This window comes from Homo sapiens, chromosome 10 (genome assembly GCF_000001405.40).
Source record: "Homo sapiens chromosome 10, GRCh38.p14 Primary Assembly".
In the NCBI taxonomy this organism is placed as follows: domain Eukaryota; kingdom Metazoa; phylum Chordata; class Mammalia; order Primates; family Hominidae; genus Homo; species Homo sapiens.
This window is the reverse complement of record NC_000010.11, coordinates 27224353-27243899: the sequence shown is the minus strand read 5'-3', so window position 1 is coordinate 27243899 and position 19547 is coordinate 27224353. Positions and strand designations below refer to the sequence as shown.

The following is a 19547-nucleotide window of genomic DNA, read 5'->3' as shown; positions in this document are numbered from 1 at the left end:
GATGTCACACTAAACTCTTGGAATTGGCTTCTTGGCTTTCCTCTCTGACAAGTGACTGAAATGGGGGTAGGGTTGAATTTTATGAAGATGTGACACTTAACCCACCACACACACGCACAAATTATTGTATTTCCTTCTTCGTGCCTGTGTTATGGCCTGCTAATGGTATACTTTACTTGAATGAACTCATGTGCTCCAAATTTTCTGTGGGATAGAGATTGATCATATTCCCCATTTTAAGGAAATTACAGCTTGAAAAAACTAAATAGTGTGGCAAGAAAGCTAGTAAGTTGCAAAGTCAGGGATGGTCCCAGGATTCTGTCTCTGGAGACTGTCCTTTCCACCCCACCACACATGGCTGCTGATCATCGAGACAGGTTTCCATGATGCACAGGATGGTGGGTGAAGTAGGTGGAGGCAAGACATGTTCACTACACTCACACCTGTCATTTACCAGCAAATCAGCCATGGAAAGCACCACGGTCCTTAAATAAATGACCCCTGCTGGGACTTACTTTAGATAGCCGACATGTTTGAAGCAGCCCTGGCTCACACCGAGGCCTGAGGCCTCCGTGGAGACTGCGCATCTGCCCATTGGATGTAGGAGAGCCTCCCAGCACATGCAGTGGGCATGCCCTGCAGAGCGCATTTTTCTCATTCCACAGAGCATCGATCTTAAGACAGATCATCCTGAACTGCCCTTAAAGCTGAGGGCAATCTGTCCATCCACTCACACATCACTTAAGAGACAGAAAGAAACTTCATTCTCTCTGTGTGTGTGTGCGCGTGTGTGTGTGTGTGTGTGTGAAGTCATTTCCTTTTCCTCTCTCCCCCGCCAAGGCACCTGCTCAGCACACTTTCCTTTTCGCTTTTTCCTCCTGGGCAGTGCTCATCCTCCCTGCCTGATTCAGATTCTTCCCTGGTGCTGCTGTCCAATATTTATTGCTCAGCTAAGTATCAAAAAAGAGGAAATACAAAAATCTTGAAGGCTACTACATGCTAGGTAATTTCACATACTTTATTGGAGAAAACGAAATTTTTCAGAGCTTGTTTCCTGACGCAGTCACACAGTGAACTAGCGGCAAATCCAAGATAGACTTTGGGCCAAGATAACCCTAAACCCGTTCATTTTCCTCAATCCCACCAGAAATCACCCTAAAGAGGTTTATTTATTTAAAAAAAAAATTGAAACATCTATAGGTCACATTGATTATTTCCCATTAAAAATGAAAAGGGTTCTATTAAATCCAATAAGGGGGAAATGAATATTCCTTCAATTTAGGTTTGTTCCTTTTATGGAATAAAGTAATAACGCGTTAGATAAGTGTCACTGCTTTTTAGCCATTCATACATTACCATTTGGAATTCTTTAGTATTTACAACCCAAAGTTGGTTCTCTAATCTATTTCTCATCTTTGTGTGATAATTTTACAAAATGTCCTCTTCATTTTTGAAGACAAAGAAACGTGAAACGTCCACGATCAAATGATTTCCCCCTGTGTTGTATTAGACAAACCCGAAGCAAAGCCTCCGGAGGGCGCTGGAGAAGCCGCAGCTGCAGACACCGCGACAATCTCAAGACACTTAAGCTGGAAGCGAATGTGGCATTTCAAAGAGGCACGAAATGCAACCGGCTAGGAAGGAGGGATTCCGCCGCACGGCTGCGGCGTCCGCGGGACAGAGACGCCTAACCGGAAGAGCTAGCAGGAACGCCGGACGCCGCTGGGACGTGTCCGGAAGCGCGGCGGAACGGCGGACTACATTTCCCATAAGCCCGCGGGGCAGGGCGAGGGGCGGGCGTCGGGGACATTACCGGACAGGCCTTGTCCGGCAATACCAAGGTAAATGCCGGCGCCGCGGCTCAGAGGGAAGAGTAACTTACGATCTGCGCCTAGATTTTTCCTAGTAACCCTCCTAACCCATCCCCCTAACTGACAAAAACGACTCTTCCATCCGGGAGACTTTGGGATTTCCGGGCTACAGGACTCCACCCCCCACAACCTAGTCAGTCCCACCACCAACGTTCGGCCTGGGGCACTTCCCAAATGCCTAAGGACGCAGGGGGTTGCGCTAGTAAGTTGAAGGCCCAGGGCACCCCCTTTCTAGGGTTGACGACCCGTAAAGACTCCTCATTGGCCCCGCCCTCTACGCCCAGTATCCTATTTTTATTTTTTTTTTTAATTATTGGTTTCTTAAATAGAGCCAGGGTATCGCCATGTTGCCAGGCTCGTCTTGAACTCCTGGCCTCAAGCAATCCTCCCCACTCGACCTCTCAAAGTATCGAGATTACAGGCGTGAGCCACTGTGCCCGGCCGTCCCCATGCCCAGTCTCCTATTAAATCCCGCTGGAGGTGCCTGGCTCCCTGGGGCTGGGTGGAAAGGGTAGTGTAGGGGAAGTTGCCCTCCGTCCCAGCCCAGTTTAGGAGCCGGCGACCTCCTCTCTCCTTCGGCTGCTCCTCGGACGTTCTTGGCTCAGGGCAGCGAAAACTGTCGAAGACCTGCGGGCCAGGGACTGCTGAGCACCTCCATCCAAGGTCCCCAATGCTTTTCTCCATCTACCCTTTAGAGTGGGTGTCACGATTGCCACTGGAAAGGCTAAGTGACTTGCCCTAGGTCACATAATTTAAATGGCAGAACTGGAGTTTCTCACAGAACCTGTCCCGACTTAAAGCCCTTTGCTTAGGCCCCATTTAACTTCCTCAAACCTTAACTTAGGAGAGTGCAGGCGCTGGGGACCGCAGAGTCATTTTTGTTGCCCAGCGGTGCCGTCGCGTGCAGCTTTGGGCCCAGGTGCAGAACCCAACCGCGCATCCCCAGCGCGCACTTCGTCCACCCGGCTGCCAGAGCGGACACATCGGTCCGGCCTCGGTTTCCCCCTTCTGAACAAAAGCGCGCACAGTGTGCTCCCCGCACCAAGCCGGGACTGTGGCCCCCTTTCCCCGCTTCCCGGACCCTCCTCTGGGGACAGACGGACCGCGCGCGTCCTTGCCGCGGCGGCGGGTCGGGTGGGTGGGGTTTGCTGCACTGCTGCTGCGGCGGCGGCGGCGCCAGTGGGTCCTCCGGTGACTCTGGGGCGGGGCTGTGGGGAGGGCACGGACTGACAGACGGACTCCGGCGGAATGGGGGGTGTGGCTGCTCCGCCAGGGTCCCCAGGGTGGGAGAGCGGCTCCGCGGCCACCGATGCCCGGACCCCCTCTGTCTTCTGCTAGACATGCTCTTCCTCTCGGTGAGTTGTTTTGCTGTCGTCGCGGGCCGGATTCGTGGCCTTAGTCACGCCCCGGGGGAGGAGGAAGGAGCCGGGCCGCTTCGATCTGTGTGGCCTGGATAGGGCAGGGCAAAGGGGAACTGACCCGCTTCGCTCCCGGGCCTCCTCCTTTTGGGGCATGTTGATCCGCGGCTGCGCTCCATGTTCCAGTTTCATGCAGGCTCTTGGGAAAGCTGGTGCTGCTGCTGCCTGATTCCCGCCGACAGACCTTGGGACCGGGGCCAACACTGGCAGCTGGAGATGGCGGACACGAGATCCGTGCACGAGACTAGGTTTGAGGCGGCCGTGAAGGTGATCCAGAGTTTGCCGAAGAATGGTACGTGCGCTGGGCCCCGGCTGTAGACGCCTCCTGCAGAGAGCCCCAAAGCCCCCTTTCACTTTCTGGTTCTAGTGTTGTTTATTTAGCCTTTTTTTCTGTGTAGGAGCCATGTAGTGGAAGGGGAGCTATTGAATATGAATTAATTACCTTTTGATCTTCCAAACCGGAGAAAAATCTAATATCCAGATTTTAAGTACTTCATATTGTTGAAAACAAAAGTCTTGTCACTTAATGACTGCGGATTTGGGTGTGTTAAAAAATAAATCCGGGCCGGGCGCGGTGGCTCAAGCCTGTAATCCCAACACTTTGGGAGGCCGAGGTGGATGGATCACCTGAGGTCAGGAGTTCAAGACCAGCCTGACCAATATGGTGAAACCCCGTCTCTACTAAAAAATACGAAAATTAGCCAGGCTTCGTGGCGTGCGCCTGTAGTCCCAGCTACTCGGGAGGCTGAGACAGGGAAATTGCTTGAACCCGGGAGGCAGAGGTTGCAGTGACCCGATATCGTGCCACTGCACTCCAGCCTGGGCGACAGAGCCAGACTCCATCTCAAACAAACAAACAAACAAACAAACAAAAATCTAGGCTGGGGATGCCTAATGCCACACACTCATAGGGTCTACCAGCTTAAGCGTTTTGAAAACTTTTGATATGAAGGGACAGAAAAGAAAGAATAACTATAGTCAATTGTGAAGTAATTTCTATTTTAATAAATATATATTTTCTACCTTTTTATTTGCTATTCCATTGTATAATGTTCTTTTTTATACTCATATTGGACCTTCTTTGCAGCTGGTGAGAAAAAAGTCATTCCAGTGGCTGATCTCCTTCTTGTATTTAATGTGCTATTTCTCTGGCTGCTTTTTAGATTTCTTTTCTATCTTCGGTTTTCAGCAATTTGACTAGTAGATGTGGTTTTTCTTCATATTAACCCTGTTCACGATTTGCAGAGCTTTTTGAATTTGTAATTTTATGTCATAGACCAATGTGAAGTTTTTGGCCATTAAATATTTTTCTCTGTTCTAAATGCAGAGTCTTAGAAGCAAGACGTACTTTTCAATTCATATCTTTCTACATTATATGAATTATATTTCACAATAAACATATTTATTTCTTTAGAGATGGAGTTCCGCTCTTGTTGCCCAGGCTGAAGTGCAATGGTACAATCTCAGCTCACCTCAACCCCCACCTCCCAGGTTCAAGCGATTCTTCTGCCTCAGCTTACCCAGCAGCTGGGATTACACCCGTGCGTCACCATGCCCGGCTAATTTTGTATTTTTAGTAGAGACGGGGTTTCTCCATGTTGGTCAGGCTGGTATTGAACTCCCGACCTCAGGTGATCTGCCCTCCTGGGCCACCCAAAGTGCTGGGATTACAGGCATGAGCCACCGCGCCCGGCCCAATAAACATATTTAGAAAGTAATTATAGGTGCTACTACTGTGCCACAGTTGTAAAACTAACTGAATACAACAATAATATGTTACTATAGTATTTAATATCATGATTTCTGTTTTCATTAATTATCATTAATTATCAATAATTTCAATAATTATAGGTAACAAATATTCAACACATCATTCAATAAAAATTCATTAAATGCAGATTCAGAAATTTTTAAAAACAAATATACACAAAATAGTGTTCCATTTGTAATTTCTTTCCTTCTATGGTGTTGTCTGAACCTTTTGTAATTTCAAACATTCTATTGGAGGAGGGCATATGGGGGACTGAAAGATAAGAAAGAACAAATAAAATATAAAAAAAAGCATGAACTTATTTAGGTATTGATTTTTTAAGTCCCTAATTATTAGTGTTTATAGAAAGGTATGATTCTAAGAGTTTTATGTAAGTAGTATGTTTATACTTTCTTCTAAAGCACACGTTTTTATAGTTTTTTGAAAATTGGTAAAGCTAGACTGATGTCTCTAGGCCACTATGCCTGTTGACATTATGTACCACTTATTAGGAAACCTGTATAAAGTACAGTTTGTATGTACATAACATTTAAGAAAGTATTGCAAAGTTAACATACCCTATCGGCCGGGTGCGGTGGCTCACGCCTGTAATCCCAGCACTGTGGGAGGCCGAGGCAGGCTGATGCTGAGGCGGGCTGATCACGGGGCTGGCGGATCACAAGGTCAGGAGATTGAGACCATCCTGGCTAATACGGTGAAACCCCGTCTCTACTAAAAATACAAAAAATTAGCCAGGCGTGGTCGTGGGCGCCTGTAGTCCCACCTACTCGGGAGGCTGAGGCAGGAGAATGGCGTGAACCCGGGAGGCGGAGCTTGCAGTGAGCCTAGATCACACCCCAGCCTGGGTGACAGAGCCAGACTCCGTCTCCGAAAAAATAAAATAAAATTAAATTAAATTAAATTTAAAAAAAAAGATACCCTATCAGGCCAGGCGTGGTGGCTCACACCTGTAATCCCAGCACTTTGGGAGATCGAGGCAGGCCCTGAGATCAGGAATTCCAGACCAGCCTGGCCAACATGGTGAAACCCCACTTCTACTAAAAATACAAAAATTAGCTGAGTGTAGTGGCGAGTTCCTGTAATCCCAGCTACTCGGGAGGTTGAGGCAGGAAAATCGCTTGAACTCGGGAGGCGGAGGTTGCAGTCAGCTGAGATTGCGCCATTGTACTCCAGCCTGGGTGACAAGAGCCAGACTCCAACTCAAAAAAAAAAAAAAAAGATATCCTATCAAATGGTACTTGTGTTGGACAACATCCAGTATACTGTTATCCCCTGAAACTAAGTTGATATTAATTGAAGCAGAAGTTTGTTATAATGGATTATAAATATTTTTGTAATACTACTTTTAAACCATTTGATTTGCTCTGAATCATTATGCAAAGAGCAAGATCTTGGAGTTTTTTGTTCCTTGTTTCTCAATCCTTATTTAAGGCCTGAAATAGTAATGAATCCTATGACATCTATGTTTGGTATGACCTTAACCTTTTAAAATTAAAATTCTTAGCTAATATTTCAAATACATATGAAGTACATCATGTGTGAGCACCTTGAGGACAGAAATCTTACTTGAGTGTCTTACACACAGACTACACTCAATAAATGTTCTCGGTTTTTGTATTTTTAATATCATTCACCTAAGCCAATAAACATATTTGGTTGACTTACTGAAGATATTTTGAGATTAGACTTTTGATGTTTTAAATTTAGATTTGTGTTATTTAAATAAGTGACCATTTTAAACTGTGGTTTCTCCATTTTTTTCCCTCTGCTTTATAAAGGATTGTATCATTAGAACACTATCTATTAGGTACTCCTAAATGTGCATATATTATACAGATAATTATTATAGTGATTTGAGAATTAATTATGCACTCTCGGCCAAACCTGAAACACTAGTTCTCAGTTTATCTCTGTGGTAATTTCCACAGCACAGCTTTTTTTTTTTTTTTTTTTTTGAGACCAAGTCTTGCTCAGCTGCCCAGGCTGTAGTGCAGTGGTGTGATCTTGGCTCACTGCAACCACCGTCTTCCAGGTTCAAGCAATTCTGTCTCAGCCTCCTGAGTAGCTGGGATTACATGCACCCACCGTCATGCCCGGCTAATTTTTGTATTTTAGTAGAGACGGGGTTTCATCATGTTGGCCAGGCTGGTCTTAAACTCCTGACCTCCGGTGATCCGCCTGCCTCGGCCTCCCAAAGTGCTAGGATTACAGGTGTGAGCCACTGTGCCCGGCCCACAGCTCTTATAAACTGCTAGCTTATGCAATTTACAAATTTTAAAAAATATCTTGTTACAATTGTTATTTTTAAAATTTTGTTATAAAGGTAATATACACTGATGTTTAAAACTTTTTTAAAAACACATAAGTGAAAAGGAAAATAATTTGTATACTTACTATTCAGAGATAGTCTTTAAACATTTTATGTTTATCTTTCTACTGTACTTTTTATGTATATAAATATTTTGCCAAAAGGTATCATATTACATATGTTGTTTTTAAACTTATTTTTCTAAATTTATAGTAGATCATGGAACTTATACCATTATTTATATTTTTCTACAATATAACTTTTTAGGGCTACAGTTATAAATTGTCCTGTTATATTTATATATCATAATTATTTAAACAGCTATTATAAAACATTAACATTCCAATTTTTCAGTTATTGAGAATACTGCAACTTATAGCACTTGCTTATACAATTTGATTTTTTTTTTTTTTTTTTTGAGACAGGGTCTTTCTCTGTCACCGAGGCTGTAGTGCAGTGGTGTGATCACAGCTCACTGCATCCTTGACCTCCCCAGGCTCAGGAGATCCTCTCTGCTTAGGCTCCTGAGTAGCTGGGACTACAGGGTGTGCCATCACACCCAGCTAATTTTTGTTTTTATTTGTAGAGACAGGGTTTTGCTATGTTGCCCAGGCTGGCCTTGAACTCCTGGGGTCAGGTGATCCACCCACCTCAGCCTCACAAAGTGCTGGGATTACAGACATGAGCCACCACAACTGGCCAATTTAAAAATTTTAAACATGAGAAAAACTATAGATATGCTAGAAACATATATGAAGAATTATCCTCAAATTGATGTCTCCAAAATTACAGAGGTAGGAAGTGAGAAATCTATTTTATCTTAGATTAATTCTTTTTCTACCATAGTGTATACTCTTTGGCTTTAGCCCCAAATTCCTTATCTACTGAGAATTTGAAATTTGGCAGAGTATACATATAACTTTTTCACTTACACTAGTCAGTTTTGATTTGTCATAAGCTTTGAATAAAAGTACCTTATTACGATTGCTTAATAATAGTTATTCTATATTTTAGTATGTTTTTAAAGAGACATTTGCAGGTTATTTTGGTTATATCTACAGCATGTCTATTCATGTATTCTTTTATTTATTGAACCATCTTAGGCATTGCTATTAAAGTTTAAAATCTCAGAGTGTTTTGAAATCAAAGAAGCAAGCAACTAACAGAACCATAACTTTTGTTTCTATAAGCTAGAAATAAATCATTATCTAAAGTATTAATGCAATATAAAATCACTATTAGTATAGCTAAGCTAATTTATAACCTGATTATCAGTTGTATTCCCCAGGTGATTTGTATTTAATGTGTGTTTCCAACAGGTTCATTCCAGCCAACAAATGAAATGATGCTTAAATTTTATAGCTTCTATAAGCAGGCAACTGAAGGACCCTGTAAACTTTCAAGGCCTGGATTTTGGGATCCTATTGGAAGATATAAATGGTAATTTTTTGTGTAGAGCTATGCAAGAATTTAAATTTTAATGACATAATTATCATATGGCTATTACTTAAGTGGTTATATATTATTCTGTGCAGAAAGTGTCCTAGGTATTGGGTACAATTTTTATCCTCCAGGTTTTCTTTTTTGTTTGTTTGTTTTTGAGATGGAGTCTCACTCTGTTGCCCAGGCTGGAGTGCAGTGGCAGGATCTCGGCTCACTGCAGCCTCTGCCTCCTGGGTTCAAGTGATTCTCCTGCCTCATCTTCCTGAGTAGGTGGGATTACAGGTGCGCGCCACCACACCCAGCTAATTTTTGTATTTTTAGTAGAGACAGGGTTTCACTATGTTGGCCACGCTGGTCTCGAACTGCTGGGTTCAGGTGGTCCGCCCACCTCGGCCTCCCGAAGTGCTGGGATTACAGGCGTGAGCCACCATGCCCAGCCTTCCCAGGTGCTCTTAGTACAATTTTACACAAATAGGAAAATCTTGGGGAGGAGAGGAAAACAGTAAAACCAAAAGGGATAGGTGCATCAAAGATAAAGAAGCATTATCAGTTAATCTTTACTTTCATGGAGTTTTCCCTTTTTTTTTTTTTTTTTTTAAGGCAAGAGCAACTCCCAACCTAAGTTAAATAAACAAACTTTTAACTGCCTCTTTTGCCTGCAAGAAAAATAATGGCTTTTCCTTGTTTGTACTGAGCCTTGAAGATAATAAATAACTAGGAATATGACTCAGGTACTGCCATGCTAACTTTTTATCTAAGCTGTCACTTCTGACCTACTGTAATTGAATAGAAATTTGATCTTTTATATACTTAAAAGAATTCTAAACTAAAAAGTATACTTAAATGAATTATAAACTATAAACTAAAAGAATTATAGATACAGGTACCTGTACTCATCCGTGCTGTTTTCCCAGTTGACTAACAGTTGATACTCTAATACAATTGAAGCCTTCACAAATGTCTGAGAAAAGTCAATTTTAGACTGTACGTTATGAACAGAATATGCTAATTGGTGAAGCATGTTTTATTTATTTATTTATTTTTGAGATGGAGTTTCACTCTTGTTGCCCAGGCTGGAGTGCAATGGCGTGACCTCAGCTCACCGCAACCTCTGCCTCCCAGGTTCAAGCGATTCTCCTGCCTCAGCCTCCTGAGTAGCTAGGATTACAGGCATGCGCCACCACGCCTAGCTAATTTTGTATTTTTAGTAGAGACAGGGTTTCTCCATGTTGGTCAGGCTGGTCTTGAACTCCCGACATCAGGTGATCTGCCCGCCTCGGCCTCCCAAAGTGGTGGGATTATAGGCGTGAGCCACCCCCCGCTCCCGCCCCAGTGGTGAAGCATGTTTTAAAACCCACACCTTTTTTTTGGACACAGGGTCTCACTCCCATCACTCAGGCTGGAGTGTAGTGGCACCATCATGGCTCACTGCAACCTCTGCCTCCTGGGCTCAAACAATTCTCCCACCTCAGCCGCCCTAGTAGCTGGGACCACATGCTTGTGCCACCACACCCGGCTAATTTTTTAAATTTTTTCCTAGACGGGGTTTGCATGTGTTGCCCAGGCTGGTCTCAAATTCCTGGTCTCAAGTGATCCACCTGCCTTGGCTGGGATTACAGGTGTGAACCACCATGCCACACCAGTTTTTTTTTTTTTTTTTCTTCAGACGGAGTCTCACTCTGTCGCCCAGGCTGGAGTGCAGTGGCGCGATCTTGGCTCACTGAATCTCCGCCTCCCAAGTTCAAGCAATTCTCCTGCCTCAGCCTCACGAGTAGCTGGGATTACAGGCGCGTGCCACCACGCCTGGCTAATTTTTATGTCTTTAGTAAAGACAGAATTTCACCATGTTGGCCAGGCTAGTCTCGAACTCCTGACCTAAAGTGATCCGCCCGCCATGGCCTCTCAAAGTGCTGAGATTACAGGCATAAGCCACTGTGCCCTGCCCATTTTTGTTTGTTTGTTTGTTTTTTCCCCACACACTGTGATGCTCAGTTTCTTCACCCTGAACTGGAAGTGCCATAAGCTTGTTTTAAGATTTCTTAGTTCTCTACTTTCCTTTAAGATCTTTATGAATTGTCACAAAATAACAGGTTAAATGAAATAGTAATATGTTATTATTTCATATAACTTAATTTTAGTAGTATTAAATATTATTTAATATAATTTGATTTGCCCATTTTAAGAAGATTTAATTATTTGCTTCATGTTTTTCCCCTAGAATTGACCTTTGGTGGAGTTAAACTCCTTCGGGGAAAAACATATAAAAATGGAGGTTTACATGTCGGGCAAAAATTTGAAAGAACTATTATTATTTAGGGGTTTAAAAATTTCCTGTCTCTCACATTTTCAGTATCCTAGAAGTGAGAAACCATTTCCATTTTTAGTTCAAATGTACAAGTTAGGCTCTTATTTAAATTAATAGAACCTGTTAACCAAAATGTCTGTTCATTTAAAACATGGCTGGCTGGGCGCAGTGGCTCATCCCTGTAATCCCAGCACTTTGGGAGGTCAAAACAGTGGATCACATGAGGTTAGGAGTTCGAGACCAACCTGGCCAACATGGTGAAACTCCATCTCTACTAAAATACAAAAATTATCTGGGTGTGGGGGTGCATGCCTGTAATCCCAGCTACTCAGGAGGCTGAGGCAGAAGAATCTCTTGAACCCAGGAAGTGGAGGTTGCAGTGAGCCAAGACCACACCACTGCACTCCAGCCTGGGCAACAGAGCGAGACTCTGTCTCAGAAAAAAAAAAAAAAAAAAACCCATGCCTGAGTGTTACAGCTCTTTTAGAATTTTTCTAGCAGGCTTTCCGGTCTTTACCGGAAAGCCTATTGAGAAATTTATATTAAAAAGAAAAAGAAAAAATAAAACATGCCTGTGACAATTAATGTAGTCTTCTACACTTGATCTTAGCCAAAACCTGAGAAGCAATAATGTAGTCTTCTAAAATGTGTATTTCTGTTACTGTTCTTTGTAATAATATAAAAACTTTGAAGGATTCTTATCAAATATTTATGAATGGTCTGTAGTCTCTGGTACATTACTACATAGACGGGTTATATACTTATTTGTTTTAAATACTATTTAATTTGCTAGTTTATTTGCTGTGATAATTTTCTTCATGGTAGCACATTTAAGACAATCCTGTTATGGCTTTAAGTAGAACCTGTTTTAATTAGTAACCCTATAGCATCAACTATAAATTGTATTCTGAGCAATTAAAATCAGATGTCTCTTTGTCATTTTGTGGATACTTTCATTTCTAGGGATGCTTGGAGTTCACTGGGTGATATGACCAAAGAGGAAGCCATGATTGCATATGTTGAAGAAATGAAAAAGGTAGGGAAAATAATTCACAGTTAAAATGAAAATTCAGAGCAGCTCTAATTTAATTTGGTTATCAGACAAATTAGCTGCTTTGCTTTAAGGAGATTGTAGTATGTTATACAATAGAATCTAGATTATTGGATTTGTTAGGACTTTTCTGCTTCATTAAAGTTCATCTTAAGTGTTTTTTCCCTAAGATATATCACACTGTGATGATGTGATGTTTTATTTTGTTTTTGTTTTGAGATGGAGTCTTTCTCTGTAGCCCAGGCTGGAGTGCAGTGGCATGACATTGGCTCACTGCAATCTCCGCCTTCCAAATTCAAGCAATTCTCCTGCCACAGCCTCCCGAGTAGCTGGGACTACAGGTGCACACCACTACACCCAGCTAATTTTTGTATTTTTAGCAGAGATGTTGTTTTTCCATGTTGGCCAGGCTGGTCTTGAACTTCTGACCTCAAGTGATCCACCTGCCTCAGCCTCCCAAAGTGCTGGGATTACAGGCATGAGCCACTGCGCCTAGCCTGTTTTTTGGTTTTTAATCTCCCCTATCTTTCTCTATAGTCAACTTCTGGAGAAAGTGTAGAAATAGTAATCTTTGAAAATATTGAAATCCCTTACTCAGGAGTCTAGGAAGTAGCTGGACTCTCTTGAAAGTATTTCTGCTTTGGAACTTTTTACTTAGTTCAACAATGTTCTCATGCAAGTTTTCACTCGTAAATTGAGGTAGGTATTCTTTTCCCTGGACTGTTGTAAGAAGTCACATTTTTCTGTGAGTACATAGATCCTTCAGAAGCAGAATAAGATAAGGAAGTTTTCAGGTTCTCTGCTAACTAGTAAGGAAGGGGCATTCATTATTAACTAGCTCTTTTAAGTGTGTCAAAGGCATTCTTTTGAGGAGCAAGTATATGAAGAAATCATGAATTTTAAAGATGATCATAGAGTCTTTTTTTTTTTTTTTTTGAGATGGAGTCTCACTCTGTTACCCGGGCTGGAGTGCAGTGGCATGATCTTGGCTGACTGTAACCTTCACCTCCTGGGTTCAAGAGATTCTCCTGCCTCAGCCTCCCAAGTAGCTAGGATTACAGGCGCGCACCACTACACCTGGCTAATTTTTGTATTTTTAGTGCAGACGGGATTTCACGATGTTGGCCAGGCTGGTCTCAAATTCCGGACCTCAGGTGATCCACCTGCCTTGGCCTCCCAAAGTTCTGGGATTACGGGCGTTAGCCACCATGCCCGGCAGAGACTTTTTTATAAAGAACCATTTTTATGTTAGACATGGATCAGAGGTTGTGAAATCTAAGTTTGATAATTTTAAATAAATTATCTTTGAACATAAAGAAAATCTGTAAAAAGGAATAGTTTTTTGCCACATGATTTGATGGTATTAATCTCTGTAGTAATTTTTATTTGTTATTACTAGATTTAGACTTGTTTTTTTTTTCTTTTTAAATTTCTTCTACATTGCTCATAGTCATGCCCTTTATTACATTCTTGCAGTTTTTATTTGGTAGACTTTGTAACCAAGGGCAGAGTTTCGTTCTTTTGGCTATTAACTATGTCAATAACACAATAACAAATAGGCCTTTCAAAAGCAGAGAATGAAAGGTAATCTAAAGCCTTTTGGTTTCATAACTATTTCTCTTTTTTTTTTTTTTACCTTAAATTTCTTTATAATTTTTAGGACATACTTCTATAACATAATGTTGAATTGACACATTAAGTAAAATTTACTCATTTGTCCTATTCAATTGTGTTAATTAATGGTATAGCCACATTTTAAAGTTGGAGGACGATGAGGCAATGTGTATTCTGCCTTTTTCCCTAAGAAAGATTAAAACTATATTGCTGCTGAAATACCTGTAACTCCTTTAATTAAAATAATTTACTCTTTTCATTCACACTTTAAAAATTTCATTGCGTATTGTGAATATGACAAAGTTTACAGTGCAATTTTAGAGGTAAACCTAAAAATATCAAGATATCCATAAATTGAAAATTTGATTACTCTTTTGAATTATTTTTAGAGTTTAGCTTTATGACTATCAGTTAATAAAATTGCGTGTTTCTAAATAATGTTGTGGGATAGTACATTATCCCAAAGATTTGATTATTGAATTTGGGACTTATTCTAATTTCAATAATTTACTAATTGAAGCACTTGTTAAATTACCTCCTTAAATATAGTTTTTGTCATTATTCTTTTTTTTTTGAGACAGGATCTGGTTCTGTTGTCCAGGTTGGAGTGCAGTGGTGCGTGCCTCAGCCTCCCGAGTAGCTGGGATTACAGAGGCATGCCGTCACGCCCAGCTAATTTTTAGTATTTTTAGTAGAGATGGGGGTTTCACCATGTTGGCCAGGCTGGTCTCGAACTCCTGACCTCAGGTGATACACTCACCTCGGTCTTGCAAAGTGCTGGGATTACAGGCATGAGCCACCGTGTGCCTGGCCTGTCACTGTCATTATTCTTTACAGTATAAATCTCATTTTGTGTCTTTGCAGTCAGAGGTTTCAGCAATCTTATTAATTTAACTATATTTTATAATGATGTTTTGTAGAAAGTGACTTTTCATAATTTATAAGTTGTCCCATGAAATATCACTGAGAAAGTTGATTGAATAAAAAATTCTTTTAACGCCGGCTGTGGTGGCTCAGGCCTGTAATCCCAGCACTTTCCGAAGCCGAGGCGGGCGGATCACCTGAGGTCAGGAGTTTGAGACCAGCCTGGCCAACATGGCGAAACCCCGTCTCTACTAAGAATACAAAAAAAATTAGCCTGGCGTAGTGGCATACGCCTGTAATCCCAGCTACTCGGGAGGCTGAGGCAGGAAAATCGCTTGAACCCGGGAGGCAGAGGTTGCAGTGAGCCGAGATTGCGCCGCTGCACTCCAGCCTGGGTAACGGCAATAATCTGTCTCAAAAAAAAAAAAAAAAAAAAAAATATATATATATATATATATATATAAACATAATAGGATTATGTTTTATAGAAAATTGCTTTTCATAATTGATAGTGTCCCATAAAATGTCACTGAAAAACTTAATGGAATAAAACATTATTTTAATATAATGTAATAGGATTTTAGCTTTGAGGGAAAGTAATGTGGTTTGAGGAGTGGGAGAAATGCATGTTTCATTCAATAAGGTTTATTTATAGAAGTATAAAATTCTTTTTTTTTTGAGACGGAGTCTCGCACTGTCGCCTGGGCTAGAGTGTAACGGCGCCATCTTGGCTCACTGCAACGTCCGCCTCCTCGGTTCACACCATTCTCCTGCCTCAGCCTCCCGAGTAGCTGGGATTACAGGCGCAAACCACCACATCTGGCTAATTTTTTGTATTTTTAGTAGAGACGGGGTTTCAAACTATGTTGGCCAGACTGATCTCAAACTCCTGACCTCGTGATCTTCCCACTTCGGCCTCCCAAAGTGCTGGGATTATAGGCATGAGCCACCACGCCCGGCCAAAATTCTATTTTTTTTTTTTTGTACAAATTTAGGCTCTCTTCTGGGGATTTCCAGAATATTCAGCTAACATTTGAATAATGTGCCTTATGTCTGTTGAATTTAAAAAGAGATGGGTGTACTAAACCCTGGCTACACATTAAAATCACTAGGGGATCTTGTGAAAAAATAGAAATGCCCCAGGATGACCCCAGACTAATTATTTCAGGATTTCTAAGAGATTGGGATAATCACTGTAATAGAGGGAGGATTAGAGGATGGTCTCATTAAAGATGGAATCTCGGCCGGGCGCGGTGGCTCATGCCTGTAATCCCAGCACTTTGGGAGGCTGAGACAGGCGGATCACCTGAGGTAAGGAGTTGGAGACCAGCCTGGACAACATGGTGAAACTCCATCTCTACTAAAATACAAAAATTTAGCTGGGCGTGGTGGCGGGCGCTTGTAATCTCAGCTACTAGAGGGGCTGAGACAGAAGAATCACTTGAATTAAGGAGGCGGAGGTTGCAGGGAGTCGAGATCACACCATTGCACTCCAGCCTGAGCAACAGAGCGAGACTCTGTCTCAGAAAATAAATAAATAAATAAATAAAGATGGAACCTGAAAGTTGCCATGGCAGAGGGTCTAGTCCATAGCTCAACAACTCTAGAACACCAACTGTCTCTGAGTACTGAGGGTTGGCTTTTGTTTTAAGGTTTCACTCATAGTAAACATCTTTTGCAGATTGAGGGAAAAAACAAATGCCAGTTTCTTAAAGTGAGTGATAGGCTTCTAGTGATCAGCATACTCAGAAGTGATATCTAGGTCACTCTTCAAAAGGTTAGAAGTGCTTGGGAGACTGAGTTAGTGATTCCATTGAACAGAGAGTAGAGCATTAGGATTTGGATGGCTTTAAGAGATGTGGTAATTTTGGACCAAAAAAGCCTGAGGAATTTAGTCTTCGCTTTCTTAAGAGTATATCTACACCTTTCCAGTATATTTTCATCATGTAGAAATGATGTCTCTCACTGAGGAAAAGTGCTGGACAGACCTAGAAAAATTATGGGGCTTTGGATGCCTCTTTTCTGGTGTCCATGCAGCTTACCAGATATTTCTGTCAAAACATTCTTCATTTGGTTGGGTTATAATATATTAAATTAGCTTAGTTAACTTATAACTTTAGACCAGGGGTGGCCAATCTTTTGGCTTCCCTGAGCCACACTGGAAGAAGAATTATTTTAGGCCACACATAAAATACACTGATACTAACAATAGTTGGTGAACTAAAAAAAAAAAAAAAAAAAAAAATCGCAAAAAAAATCAGAATGTTTTAAGAAAGTTTACGAATTTGGGCCAGGCGCAGTGGCTCACACTAGTAATCCCAGCTAGTAATCCCAGCACTTTGGGAGGCCGAGGTGGGTGGATCTCTTGAGGTCAGGAGTTCCACACCAGCCTGGGTAACATGGTGAAACCCCGTCTCTACTAAAAATACAAAAAAGTTAGCTGATCATGGTGGTGCATGCCTATAGTCTCAGCTACTCGGGCAGCTGATGTAGGAGAATTGCTTGAACCCCAGAGGCAGAGGCTGCAGTGAGCCAAGATCATGCCACTGCACTCCAGCCTGTGCGACAGAGTGAGACGCTGTCGCAAAAAAATTAACAAAAAAAATTAAAAAAAAAAAAGAAAGTTTACGAATTTGTGTTGGGTATTTAAAGCCGTCTTGGGCCACATGCTGCCCGAGGACTGCAGATTGGACAAGCTTGGTTTAGATAACATCTTCTCTGAGGGTAGGTAGTAGTTACCTAGACTGAGATTTGCCTGTGTCTGCTTGTGTGTGTGTGTGTGTGTGTGTGTGTGTGTGTGTGTGTAGTCTGTATCTCATGTGTGTACATGTGCACCATTTCTTGTATTTCAATATTGGTGTCAGGGAGATAATTTTGCAAATGGCTGGGGATCATTCTTGGTTTGTGTATGTTTAAAGTTGCTTCCTCAGAGAATAACCTCTTCAAAAGGGTGGAGGAAAGGGCTGAAAAACTTCCTATTGGGTACTGTGTTTACTGTATGGGTGACTGGATCAATAGAAGCCCAAACTTCAGCATCACACAGTATACCCTTGTAACAAACCTGCACATGTACCCTCTGAATCTAAAAGAAAAAGAAAAAACAAAGAGAGTAACTTCATCAATTTTGGATGTGTCTTGTTTTGGCTACTGTGTCTTCACTATATTAACTACTGAAATTCTGGTTTGTTGAGAGAATGAATACTCAGTTAATATTTGCTTACTGCCAATGGATACTCCTTTTATTTCGTTCTGAGACTTCAGTCCACAGTTTACTCTTTTACCCTATGGGGCATGAGAAACCCAAATGCCGAATTTAGTAGCCTTAAAAATAAGGACAAAGTTAAGAAAGAGATCTTTTAATAAGCCTTGAGAAGTAGAGGTGTTGCTTGGTGGTCAGGATGTGGTATGCAATTGGCTTACTAGATTCTGCTAACTGAAGTCTTTATATTACGGCAGTGTGGGATAGTGTAAAGGGTGCTGATTTATGTTTGAATTATTTCTCTGCCATTTATTAGTTGTGACTTGGTCACATTAAACATTTCTCTTGGTTTGAATCTGATTTATCTCAGAATTATTATTATAATTCAAATATATTACAACTCAGATATTTATAATAAATAATAAAACATTCCTCCACATGGCCCTAGCCTCATAACAAATGTTTCCTTTAGCAAAAAGAAATTTTGTGATTAAAGCATTCCTTTCACAGTACATTCAGAGGAGCAGCAATCAGATAATTTACTACAAGCTGTAAAATTAAATTATAATCACTAGAACCAGTTATTGTTAACATAGTTCATTCTGTGTAATCTCTCTCAACAACCTCCTCCTACACATATAACACAGTGGGGAATGGTGTTGATGAGCATGTAATCCTATCAGAGTTGCTGACTACCATAGACCACCAATGATCCATCTTGTATTTGGTTTAGGAATAAAAGCATGTTGTTTGAACAAGAATTTTAGGGTTTTGGCCAGGCGCAGTGGCTAACACCTATAACCCCAGCACTTTGGGAGGCCGAGGTGGGCAAATCACTTATGAAGGTGTCTGAAATTGCTTGAAGGTGAGAACTGCTCAAACCAGGAAGGTGGAAGTTGCAGTGAGCCGAGATCGTGCCGCTGCACTACAGCCTGGGTGATGATGGAGCGAGACGCTGTCTCCAAAAAAAAAAAAAAAGAAAGAGAGCGAGAGAGAGGGAGCCAGTTCTGGTATCTTTTTTTTTGGAAACAGAGTATCACTTTGTTGCCCAGGCTGGAATGCAGTGGTGTGATGTTGGCTCACTGCAACCTCCGCCTCCTGGGTTCAAGCAATTCTCTCGCCTCAGCCTCCCAAGTAGCTGGGATCACAGGTGCATGCCACCAAGCCCGGCTAATATTTGTATTTTTAGTAGAGATGGGGTTTCACCATGTTGGACAGGCTGGTCTCAAACTCCTGACCTCAGGTGATCCTCCTGCCTCAGCCTCCCAAAGTGCTGGGATTACAGGCGTGAGCCACCACGCCCGGCCCCTGTTATCATATTAAACATCCTGTGATTGGCACACACAGAGCTGACTTTATTCTTTTTAATATATGCAAAATATTTCAAATCTAGAAATACTTTAATTTCTTTGATCAGTCACCAATTGATGGCTGTTTAGTTAAATACCTTTTCAGTTAATTTACCTTGTTCTTTAAATTTGGTGATTCTAAATTGGCCCATATTTATGAAGGTGTCTGAAAGTGATTACAATTTCCTACTTTACTTTTGTGCCCTGTTAGAAATACTACGCTACCTTATTGTTAAAGAACAGACATCATAATTTTACTCTAACTTCAGTTTTCTATTTCGTTTAATGAAAGCCCCTAGTTTTTTTGTTTGTTTCCTTTATTTTTTTGGAGACAAGATCTCGCTCTGTTGCCTA

The 19547-nt window shown here is 41.6% G+C and overlaps 1 protein-coding gene and 1 pseudogene across 45 annotated transcripts in view, besides 6 other annotated features; both read left to right on the top strand.

The window, feature by feature from the left end:
- Positions 357-626: an enhancer, noted in NCBI's record as "active region_3185". NCBI's record gives its function as "activates an Ori minimal core promoter by ATAC-STARR-seq in GM12878 lymphoblastoid cells {active_cell/tissue: GM12878}" and the evidence as "EXISTENCE:reporter gene assay evidence [ECO:0000049][PMID:35858748]".
- Positions 1392-1501: an enhancer, noted in NCBI's record as "active region_3184". NCBI's record gives its function as "activates an Ori minimal core promoter by ATAC-STARR-seq in GM12878 lymphoblastoid cells {active_cell/tissue: GM12878}" and the evidence as "EXISTENCE:reporter gene assay evidence [ECO:0000049][PMID:35858748]".
- Positions 1632-1881: an enhancer, noted in NCBI's record as "active region_3183". NCBI's record gives its function as "activates an Ori minimal core promoter by ATAC-STARR-seq in GM12878 lymphoblastoid cells {active_cell/tissue: GM12878}" and the evidence as "EXISTENCE:reporter gene assay evidence [ECO:0000049][PMID:35858748]".
- The window catches only part of ACBD5 (acyl-CoA binding domain containing 5), a 59274-nt gene continuing 41515 nt past the window's right edge, over positions 1789-19547 (top strand). For 9 of the 45 annotated variants that reach the window (XM_017016893.3, XM_017016885.3, XM_017016890.3 and 6 more), the window contains exons 1-4: positions 1789-1841; positions 3426-3581; positions 8688-8808; positions 12080-12152. In XM_017016893.3, the coding sequence (XP_016872382.2) occupies positions 3506-3581; positions 8688-8808; positions 12080-12152 (270 nt within the window). In that variant the 5' untranslated portion in view covers positions 1789-1841; positions 3426-3505. 45 annotated transcript variants of the gene reach the window in all.
- Positions 3102-3211: a silencer, noted in NCBI's record as "silent region_2245". NCBI's record gives its function as "represses an Ori minimal core promoter by ATAC-STARR-seq in GM12878 lymphoblastoid cells {active_cell/tissue: GM12878}" and the evidence as "EXISTENCE:reporter gene assay evidence [ECO:0000049][PMID:35858748]".
- Positions 3332-3591: an enhancer, noted in NCBI's record as "active region_3182". NCBI's record gives its function as "activates an Ori minimal core promoter by ATAC-STARR-seq in GM12878 lymphoblastoid cells {active_cell/tissue: GM12878}" and the evidence as "EXISTENCE:reporter gene assay evidence [ECO:0000049][PMID:35858748]".
- Positions 3549-4051: an enhancer, noted in NCBI's record as "H3K27ac hESC enhancer chr10:27528778-27529280 (GRCh37/hg19 assembly coordinates)". NCBI's record gives its function as "activates a minimal SCP1, AML or CMV promoter by ChIP-STARR-seq in naive H9 embryonic stem cells {active_cell/tissue: H9 hESC(naive)}" and the evidence as "EXISTENCE:reporter gene assay evidence [ECO:0000049][PMID:30033119]".
- On the top strand, positions 11584-11641 carry RNU7-12P (RNA, U7 small nuclear 12 pseudogene; annotated as a pseudogene).